Genomic DNA, 11,800 nt, shown 5'->3' on the forward strand with positions numbered 1-11,800 from the left:
AACAAAATGAACAGCATGCTGGACTAGCCAACCACAACTCACTGTTAAAGCTTTCCTTGAGAATGAGCCCAACAGCTCTGAAAGACTTCCAGAAAAATACACCAGAAAGAATTCAACCTCCTTAGAGAAGATAACATCACCTCTATAGAAGGACTTCTCCAATATTCTCAGGCTTTAAATGGACCCATCACTTCTACTAGAACCTAACCCCATTCCGAGACAGAGCTTAATGTTCTGGCTACTCCACAATGAGGACAGTCCTTCTCACAGTCTCCAGGGACTTCATTCATCAGTTCTGAGTTGCTGCTCATTATCACATGCAGGTACTGTGCAAGAGCTGTTTAGAGCTAATGCAAACACTGTCTGTACCCCAAGGAGCTGGAAGTCTGGAATACGCTTTTGTCTTTCCAAAGGTGGGGAAAGTGTCATTTAAAAATTGTCAGAAGTGCTCACTCATTGGACATGGAAACACCTATGAAGCTCACTTTGCGTTGAGGAATCCCCCATAACATAATGGGTACTTATATTAACCCAAGACAATTTCATGGTTCTTGCGAAAACCTGCAAGATCATCACTGACCTGAATGCAGATCCTTCTGCATTCTGCAGACTGAGATAGTGACTCATCTGTTTACTGAGCTAAATTGGGCCTGTTTATAAGAAATGTACACTTACAGAGTTAAAGGACTGTGTAAGTTTCTTACAGGTATGGATTTCAGTTAGTTTGTCCATGATCATTTGTATTTATTTTTGGGAAATAAGAGGTTTAAAAAGATAACCAGAAAACCACAAAAAATATAGTGAGCACTTTATGAGAGAGACTTTTATAATTTCATGGGAATTTAGAGGGATAAATCGCTTCTAACTGATGGAATCACTCAGACTAATTTATAGGGAGGTTGCCATACTGGCAACCTGAGGTTTTTTATCTGTATCTATCTGATGGATACTAGGTAGAGAAAATTACGTGAGTAAGGCATGGAAATATGGAAGCACGAGTGTTTAGGTAATGTCATCAGAGTTGTAGTTCAGCTTGGATATTCAGAACCGGAAAAGGAGATGAAAAAGAGAGGTTCTGCCAGGGTGTGTTTGGTCAGTATCATTTCCCATGCGTATAAACCTAGCCCATTCTGTAAGTCAGCGGTGGAAGAGAAAACAGCTAAAGTGGCTGGGTCCTCTGGCTTTTATTTAGCATCTGGCTCTTTTCTGGATCAGCATTTCACACAATTTGTTCAAGGTTTATGATTTTATAATATTCTTGCGCTATTGTCACTGTTGATGAATTTCCTCCAAACTCTAGTTATTCAATACCTCTCTGATCTTAAAAAATTCCTCTTTATCCTCACTCTGTAATTATATGTGAGTTCAGAACACCTAGTTTATGACCTAATCAATGGAAATTTGAATATGCTGGGACTGAGAGGGTCCTGACAAGAGCAGGTAAAAGCCAACAATCTTCTTATGTGGTTCTCCATCAACGTGGTGCTTTGAAAAAAAAATTCTATTCCACTCCTCTCCGCTAGCCATTTTCCATTAGCCATTTTTGCTCTGTCTAAAGCTTCAGTGGTTCCCCACCTTGAAGTGGGTATTTGTTGCTTTCAGGACACTCAACAACCTTTTCCTCTTCCTTACAATACTTCCATTTTCATTAGGAATTTAACTCTTTTCCATTGGGTATTGTGATGAAATGGTAAATCTATGGGCCTACTACAAACTAAGGAAGCAAAAGAGGTTCCTGGAAGTTCTCTCTGAGGAATTTTTTCTTTTACTACCCTGGTTTGACTAGGAGACAGATAGGTGACTAGAGTTCAGCCAATCAGTCGCTTCCTTCTAAAATCAACTCTTGAGTTCTTACTGTAAAGACAGAAAAAAAAAAAAAAGGCTAGAGATCATTGACTGCAGGAAGTGGCCTCCTGTTAGAATACCATGACTGTATTCCCTACTTCCTTCCCATTTCCAAGTGTAAGTCTTCAATTTCCCATCAGTAGCTTTTTTTGTTTGTTTTTGTTTTTGATTCCTTAAGCATACTTAAGGCCTTTGCACTTACTCTTCCTTCTAGTTGACACCCTCCCCCTAAAATCTTTGGCAATGCATAAGTTAACTAAAAAGGTTTCTCACTTTCCCAGGCAATTATTTAGAATTATTCTAAGAAGTTAAATTATTGGAAGTATGAGAGAAATTTCAAAGCTAGTAACATAGTGCCATCTAAAATATTAAATTATAACACTGTAAAACATGGAATATTATATATCCAGTTCTTTAGATGTTATTTTTCCTGATTCAAGCTCAATATTCCCTACTATCTACATAAATTATGCCTGCAGGACCTAAGTTTTATTATATTTATTTATTTATTTTACCTAATTAAGGTGTTATTCAAATAAATACTCTATGTATCTTCTAGGCTTCCCTGTCCCTATGCCTCAGCTCTGCTATTTGTTTCATGCCAAATATTTTTATCTCCTTCTTTCCCTCTCTTTTCTATATATATATATTTCTAAATTAAAGCCCGTTTTTTTTCCTGCAAACCTTTCATGGCCAGCCACTCAGAGACGTTTTCTGAGTTCCCTGTGCACTTTATTGCTACAGGACTTAATACAAGATTGGAAGTCCTATTTGCATGCATATTTTACATCCCCTGCTAGACTATAAGCATTTCACTATGGGTGCAGAGAAGGGGTCTTTGTTTTTCCATCACTGAAATGCCTAACATTAAAATTTTTTTTTGGCTACCTCTTCTATGCCAGGCATTATTCTTGGTGTTTCAATTACAAAAGGAAATCAAGCAATGCTGGCTACTCTCATAAGCCACATGTGAAATGGAGAGGTTCTGTGGGTAGAACATATCCAATATTTTTACCTTTTAAAAAAATTTAGAACTGACAATCTAGCAGTAGAAAAATACATATACACCAAACTACACAAGAGAACTATTGAGAGAAAATAAATATTAAAGACAGAGGAATTTTATATAAGAAAATTCTCTAAAAGAGAAGGGGGTTGAGGTAAGCCTCATGGAGAAAGCATGGTAGTTTGTATATAATAATATTTAGTGTATATTTGTAAAGGAAAGGGATATGCATAAATGTATTTAACAAATTGCCTTTTGTTTAGTTTTGTGTTGAAAGAGAGAACAGTGCCTCAGATGATGCAGAGTCAGAGATCATCTCTCCCCAAAGTTACATTTTGGTTTTGAAGTATACTACATGATTTATTTACTGATTATTTCTGGTACATATTTCTCTGAAATCAACTTTAATGTCTGAGGAATATATCAAATGAGGAAAATCATTCTGGGGCTAAAATATACCATGGAAGATTCCCTTAGTGGTCAATTAGGATTGACTATTCCTAGCTATAAAGAGAAAAGAAAAAGAATATAGAAAATAAGGCTCTAAGTAAGTCTCAGAGCATTGGTCCTGGAGTGAAACCATGAGGACCATCTCTTCAACTCCATTTTCACAAGACCTCTACATGCCTTGTATCTGCAGATAGGCGGTGATGAAGAAATATACATGCTTTTGAGAGCTCAGCTGTTTACAAGGAATTCAGTGGATCTGAGCAATAGTAGTTTAACTTGAAATGCCAAGTTAATTTTTTTTTTTTTCTAATCAGAGGTAGATCTATCTTTATCTTGGTAGGTCTACCATGTTTATTTTCAATTGATCAATAGTGACACCTGCTGGCTCAGGAAGAGACACTTGCCTAATGTGACTATAGGACTGAAATAACTGTGGGAAATAGTGGATATAGTTAGCTCATCAATCCTAAAAACCAAAATGGAACAACCTTAAGACCAAGCTGATTATTGTGTGGAAATTCTCAAGATGATCACAAAAATGAGTCATTATTGGGATGTAGACTTGATGGTGGTGAAATATGATCTAAGACTTGAGTAATCCTTGGAGGAGAGGCAAAGTAATCCTATTCTAGCTGCCTCTCCTAGCCTCACTTCTGGATTAGGGACAGCACTTTCCAATCTCTTTTCCTACCTTTAGTCTGATTTCGCTTCAACACATCTTACGAAAGACCTAGAGTAATTTCATAATCACATTCATGCTCCAAAGCCTGAATGAAATTTATAAGAGGACAGGGAGATAATTGGTGCACAGTCACACTGTGACACACACTCAAATCCAGTGGCAGGAGCCAAGAAGCCAAAGCAAATGGCTCATCACCAGATATGCTCTGACAGGTAGAGATGCAGGTGCTCAGGATCAGAACTGACATGCTGCACAGTATAGCGCCTCTGAGGTGGCCTGGCAGATCTGTGGAGAGGGGCTCCCTCTCAAAACCCTACCCCCATGTTCCTATCCCCCTCAGTCTTTGTTGCTATTTTGAGTGCCTTTCAGGCTGCAAAGATGCCCTTGATTCCTCCAACTTTGCCTCCTTGATCTGTTTTTCCTGAGGAGAAGTGGATGCTCTGAAAGTACTTGTCCCAGTCCCCCTATTTTCCATTTCTTTTTAGTCATCTTGGAAGGCAAATGATATCAAAGTTAAGCTAAGAAGCCAATAATTCACATGTAAATTTGCATTTTAAATGGGAGCACCTTAGCAAAGTATGTACTTAACCCAAAGCATGCACATCTAATGTTCATTGTGCCAAGGAACAAGAAGGAGACATTCGGAGCAGGAGCAGGACCTTCTGGATGCACTGAAAATAAGTACATATAAATAAGAACAATAATCATAAGTCATTCTTAATACTTACTGGGCACTCACATGTAGGAGACATAGTGCTATTCGTTTGATTCCTCTTGCTGTGTAGAAGCATCACAACAATTCTAATAGGTAGAAATTATTATGCCTAGTTTATAGATGACAATACAAATGTTCAGAAAATATAAGTAACTTGTCCAAGGTTATACAGCAAATATTGATGAGTCTGAGACGTCAACCAGGGTCTTTCTGACTTAGACTCTATATACTTAATTATGCTCTACTACACTTTTTTTTCAAAGGCTGGCCTGGATCATCAATGACATCTAACTGTTTAGACTAAGAGAACAAAGATATGGTCTCCATAAGTAACAGTCCAAAGGAAACATTTTACAAAACAGGTAAGCTGCAAAGCACTGCATACATGCCAGTTATTATTACAAGAGGAAGAATGTGGCATCAAGTTTGAGCTTCTCTTTATAATTCTATAAGACAAATGAATGAGAGAGAGAGGTTTGGCATGACAGGGAGGTGAGAAAAGGTTATATCAACAAACATAACGACTTCCTTTTGTGGAAGCATGTTCACATGAACACAAAGTATCCAGGTTGGGTTTAGCTCACTGAAACACAGTGACCCTGTTGCTCCACCTGTAATGAATCAACACAACTTATTGGGTATTTGGAGTAACCAGCATTTTATTAGGTCCTGCATGTATATGACATCACAGTTCTTTTGTAAAACATCAACAAAAAGTTGAGTAGGTTATACATTTCCCTGCTTCAAATATAATTTTAAAATAATATGAAAAGGTATACACTAAGAACCTCACTCCTGTATTATTTCATTTCTCCCTGTTCCCCCTCAGCTCTCCAGATAGACATTTCAACTTCTTGTTTATTTTTCTAATGCTTCTTAATGCAAGTATAAGCAAATATAAATATACATTCTTATTTTCCCACTTGTCTAGCACAAAAGGTAGCATATACAATGATAAAATTTCCTCATATTAACTTTTTATATGTAAACTTAGCCTAGAGATCTCTCCCTATCTAACTAATCATTGATCTACTGCATAGTATTCCAAATTCCTTTTATTATAATTGTATCTGGGCAGCATGCTAAAAATAACAGCATACTAGTATATATTTCTGAGTGTTATGAGTGATTATATAAACATGAGAAAATTTCAGAGAGTGAAGAGAGATTGGATGTGATGGGCATCGATAAAACCTCTTGGGGATTGATAAGGCAAGGGAAATCATTCCTCGAAGAAAGAGGTAGCTAAATTATCACACCGCTTCCTTAATCTGCAGGCAGGTGAGTTTCTTGCTAGCATCAGTGCAGCTTCTTTTTATATTGTCTCAGTTAGCTTCCTCCAATTTCCGTTTAGATTCAAGCCAAGAAACAAACACTGTGTTAATTGGTGCATTTTCCTGTAGAAACTAATTATAGCCCCATGCTGTCAAAACAAGACAAATTGTTAATGATACTTCATCTGACAAAATAGAAATAAAGCTATTTTGCCATAAAGGAGGATGTTGGGATTATGTCACAAGAGCTATTTTAATCACAATTATAAAAGTGAAGAGAATTGCTGGAGAGGACCCATCCTGGGTGCCTCATGCCCAACTGGCTCTCTGGGTTGAGGGGAGAGGGGAGAATGGGAGAAACGGAGCATCTGGGCTTCAATGTTCCAGATGAGAGCACTGAAAATGACAGTTCCTATGGCATGTGGTCCGCTCAGGACTCTTCTCTGGCTGTTTCTGTAGATGTACATATAGCCTTCGTGTAAGCTATTTGAAAACATTAATTCATTCATTTGTTTAACAAATGTTCACTGAATGTTTATTACATGGCAGGCACTGTTCTCAGTGCTGGGATCACAGCAAGTGACAAAACAGAAAAAAACTAAAGCAAAGCAAAACAAAACAAAAACAACAAAAACCCTGCCCTTATGGAGCTTACATTCTATTAACAAAATAGGCAATCGATAAATAAGGAAGACATACAGGTCAGATGACAACAAAGTTCATAGAGAAACAGAAGTGGAAATGTTGAATAAGGAGCGTGGGGATACTAAATAGGGTGGTTAGAATGGAACTCACCAAGAGGGTGGTGTTGGGCAAAGACCTGATGGAGTTAAGGGAAACCCTTTAAGTCCCTGGGAAAGGAGAAAATTTAGCAGAGCCGAAGCTGACATTCATCCAGGAAGGTTCATAAGGCCAAGTGAGTTGCTAAAATATTGAGGTATGTCAGCACTATTTGGTACAGCCCATTCCCCAGGCAGCAGACAACTAAAGGACGGACTCCTTAAACAGCAAAAGGCCCCCAGAACTCATTCTGATTGACCTGTGCCTGAGTGGTAACTGGTGGTTAAATAGCCTTTGGACCAAAGAACAGCAAGTGCAAAGAACCTGAGGCAGAGCACCTGGGTGTTTGAGACCTGGAGGCAAAAAGATGGGCGGCTGGAGCAAGTGAATGATGGGGGTAGCAGGTGGGGAGACAGATGAGAGTTTGGGAGTGGCAGAGTCTACAGAACCTATTGGAACCACAATGGATAAGAAGCCATTGGAGGGCTCCAAACTGAGGAGGGACATGATCTTATTTACATTTACACTTTTAAAAGATCCCCGGATGTTATGTTGAGAACACACTTAGGAAACGCAGGTGGAGAAAGAGGGTCGGTCTAGTTAAAGAGGCTACCGCCATTATCCAGGCACAATGTGATGGTGGCCGAATTAGTTTCCAAGGGCCGCTGTAACAAATTACCACAAACTCGGTAGCTTAAACAACAAACATTTATGCTTTCACAGTTTAGAGGATAGATTCAAAATCAAGGTGTCAGCAGCACTGTGCTGCCTCTGATGGCTCTAGAAAAGAACCCTTCCTTGCCTTTCCCAGCTTACCTCGTGGCAGCATCACTCTCATTTCTGCTTTTGCCTTCACATTGCTGTCCTCCTTGTGTCTGTGTCTCTATATCCAAATCTCCCTCTCCTTTCTCTTATAAAGATGCCAGTCATGGATTTAGGGACCACCCTAATCCAGTATGACCTCATCTTAACTTGATGACCTATGCAAAACTGTACCTCCAAGTAAGTCACACTTGCAGGTACCAGAGATTAGAACCTGAGTATGTCTTTTGTGGGGACACAATTCGACCTATTCTAGTGACTTAGACAAGGGTAGCAGCAGTGGTTATGGAAAGATGTGTTCTATTTCTCAACTCATTTCAAAGATAGAGCAGTAAGATTATCTGAAAGGTTAGATGTGGGTTACGAGAGAAAAATAGACGTTAAGGTTGGCTTTCAGGTTTTTGTTCTGTGTGCCTGGAAGGATGAAATAGCTATCAACTAAAATGGGGAAGAGTTGTGGGATTTGTGGGGTGGTGGTGGTGGTGAGCAGGTTTAGGGCAGAGATCAGGGGCTCAGTCCTGAATAAATTAAGTTGTGATGTCCATTAGATACCAAAGTAGAGGATGAACAAGCAGTTAGATTCTGCTTTGTAATTTTTATATATCTCTTATAACCTGTCTAAGATGGGGCATGACAGATATCTTGATAAGTGGTGGACAGATGAACAAATGAATGAATGGATGGATGAATGACTACAAGTAGAGAAAAACACAGTTAAAAGATATATTTTTTTAGGATGAAAATGGTACCTATTAAATATAGAAACTAACATTTGTATACCCTTTACAATTTGCAAATTGCTTTTCACATGCCTTATTTTAACTATATTCTTTAAATAAATGATCTATAAATGTTATAACTGTATCTATTCTACAGTGAGAAAACTGAGAATTAGAGAAGTGAAATTACTTAAGCAAGCTCACCCAGAGAGAAAAAGGAAGAATAGGACTTCAACCCCAAGCAATTTTTACCACACAGAGTTTTCAGGGATGTATATTCTGATTGGGAGACTGGTAGACCCATTCCCACTGATATTCAGAAATTTCTTACGTCAGACTACGCATAAGAAAATTAACTTACGTTGTGGCAAGTAGACTTCAGGTTACACTTTTTTTAACTGCCAGTTTCTTTCTTTCTTTCTTTCTTTCTTTCTTTCTTTCTTTCTTTCTTTCTTTCTTTCTTTCTTCCTTCCTTCCTTCCTTCCCTCCTTCCTTCCTTCCTTCCTTCCCTCCCTCCCTCCTTTCTTCCTTCCTTCCTTTCTTTCTTTCTCTTTCTTTCTTTCTTTCTCTTTCTTTCTTTCTTTCTTTCTTTCTTTCTTTCTTTCTTTCTTTCTTTTTCCTTCCCTTCCTTCCTCCCTCCCTCCCTCCCTCCCTCCCTCCCTCCCTCCCTCCCTCCCTCCCTCCCTTCTTTCTTTCTTTCTTTCTTTCTTTCTTTCTTTCTTTCTTTCTTTCTTTCTTTCTTTCTTTCTTTCTTTCTTTTCTATGAGACTGAGTCTGGCTCTGTCGCCCAGGCTGGAGTGCAGTGGCGCAATCTTGGCTCACTACAAGCTCTGCCTCCCAGGTTCATGCCATTCTCCTGTCTCAGCCTTCCAAGTAGCTGGGACTATAGGCACCTGCCACTACGCCTGGCTAATTTTTTGTATTTTTATTAGAGACGGGGGTTTCACCACGTTAGCCAGGATGGTCTTGATTTCCTGACCTCCTGATCCACCCGCCTCTGCCTCCCAAAGTGCTGGGATTACAGGCATGAGCCACCGCGCCCAGCCAACTGCCAGTCTCTTTCAACTTGATAGGTGACAAAGTTTGGAAGCAACTTTCTTAATTACATAGACTTTACATATCTTTTGTAAAAATGCTAGACATGCTGTGCTTCTACTCTGACAGTCAGTAAAACAGTGCTGATTGGAGCCCTTGTCTACGACAAAAAAATAAATGTTCCTGCTTCTTCTTAGCAAATAGAATCATGGCCTGGACAGGAGAATGGCGTGAACCCGGGAAGCGGAGCTTGCAGTGAGCCGAGATTGCGCCACTGCAGTCCGCAGTCCGACCTGGGCGACAGAGCGAGACTCCGTCTCAAAAAAAAAAAAAAAAAAAAAAAAAAAAAAAAAAAAAAAAAAAAAAAAAAGAAAAAAAGAATCATGGCCTGGAAATCGAGAAATTTGCATTTTTAGCTTCTGCTGTCTCGCCAACCATTTGTGAGACACAGAGTGAACCACAGTTGCTCTGGGTCACAGATTTGGCAAAAATAAACTGAGAGGTTTAGCCTGGATAGTCTCACGGCAGCACACATGGTGGTTTAGACTGAGCATGGGCTCCGAAGTCAGACATAGTTGGATTCTAATCCCACTCACTCTACCACATACTAGTTACATTACCTTGGACAATAACCATCTATCTTCAACTTTCATTTCTTCACCAGTAAAATGAAAATGACATCTATTTTACAGCATTTTTGTATGGATTAAATGAGATAATGTACATAAAAGCACTTAGCACAGTTCTTGGCAAATTGTAAGAGGTCAATCTAGTTAACTATTAGTGTCACCAACAGAATATTTTGCATCTTTGCTTTTTAGAAAGTGCATGGTACCTATAACACAGGTGGAAATCAGGTAATGCAGCTGAAAGTATGAAATCAAAGACACGATGCCTACTTTCTCTAATTCACTGACTCACTTGTGATCTGTACTTTTCTGCTTTTGTCTTTGTTTACTGATATTTAAAATAGGCATCCACTTTCTGCTTCCCTTATAATCATGCAGTATGATTAAAAACTTTTAATATTATTTGCAAGTCTTCTTTCCCCAATATTGAAAACTCTTTAATCTTTTCATTGGAAGGAAATAAATATCAAAAATTAAATGTTAAGCAAGGCAAATGTAGCATCAGAAAATAAGCAAAGCTATTTCCAGCAATGAAACTTTAGTTGTAACTAACATCGGCTTCAGAAAACAAAGGCTATTTCCAGTAGCATACAAATACAGATGTCCTAGGTGACACTTTAATTTCTCCTGTAATGAATAACACTATTGCTAAGAAAAGAAAGGAAATTTTCTTAACTGAGTGGAAATCAGGAAGAGAACATCAAACACGTGAGATATAGTTAGGCTGACACCTAATCCCTGAACTGCCTACTGATGTATTGATGATCCAGGGTTAGAGGTTTCCCAGCAGTGGGTAACTACAAAGGAATGTGTGTGCTGCTCTCCATTATTTAGACAAATAAATGACAAGTTAAACATCTTTAATTTGAAATTTCAAAATTCAAAATACACCAAAATCTCAAACATTTTGAGCACCGACATGATGCCATAAGTGAAAAATTCCATACAACACAAACTTTGTTTTATCCACAAAACTATGAAAAATATTGTACAAAATTACCTTCAGGCTATGTGTATAAAATGTATATGAAATATAAATAAATGTAGTGTTTAGACTTTGGTCCCATCCCCAAGATGGCTCATTTTATATAATATATATCTATATCTATCTATCTATCTATCTATCTATCTATCTATCTATCTATCTATCATCTATCTATATCTATCTATCTATCTATCTATCTATCTATCTATCTATCTATCTATCTATCTCCAAATAGTCCAAAATTCAAAAAAATCGAAAATCTGAAACACTTCTGGTCCCGAGCATTTTGGAGAAGGGGTACTCAGCCTATTTGGGTTTTTGGTTCCTTTTGAGATGGTCTACATCTCATAATTAGGTGAATGTGTTATGTTTACATTGTTTTGGAGTTGGGCCTCAATCAATGTTTGTTGGGTTAGCTAATAAAACTAATCCAGTTCATTCGCATTCTGTGCTTTATTTAAATTGCCAATAAAGCATCACCATTGTCTGCCCTCTATCAGAGCTGCTCATGCATGGGCTGTTTTATATTCATATTGGAGAATGCAGCAGACAAGGCTTAGTTATCTTGAAATCCCAAGTACCTTGCAGATAGTGGGAACCCAATACATATTTCTGCAATTGCATGAGATCAAATGGCTTTTAAACCCCTTCAGAATGACTCTAGGGGCAGTGGAAACCTAACCTTTCCTTCTGCTATCACAAGCTGATCCATAAAGAGCCTCTCTGTGCTACCTTGTTATTACTCATCCAGAGATTTTCAGAGCTTTGTTCTCTGCAAGGCAGGCCAGTGGATGTGTGGATGACCCAGGAATGTTTGCTGCCCTCAAGGAACTCATTGTCTCATGTCAAAGAATTGAT

At 38.4% G+C, this 11,800-nt stretch overlaps 1 annotated feature.

Moving 5' to 3' along the window:
* Window positions 502–702: a silencer, noted in NCBI's record as "peak5509 fragment used in MPRA reporter construct". NCBI's record gives its function as "represses an SCP1 promoter by STARR-seq MPRAs in K562 erythroleukemia cells {active_cell/tissue: K562}" and the evidence as "EXISTENCE:reporter gene assay evidence [ECO:0000049][PMID:32103011]".

The sequence above is a fragment of the Homo sapiens genome, chromosome 5 (genome assembly GCF_000001405.40).
Source record: "Homo sapiens chromosome 5, GRCh38.p14 Primary Assembly".
Lineage (NCBI taxonomy): Eukaryota > Metazoa > Chordata > Mammalia > Primates > Hominidae > Homo > Homo sapiens.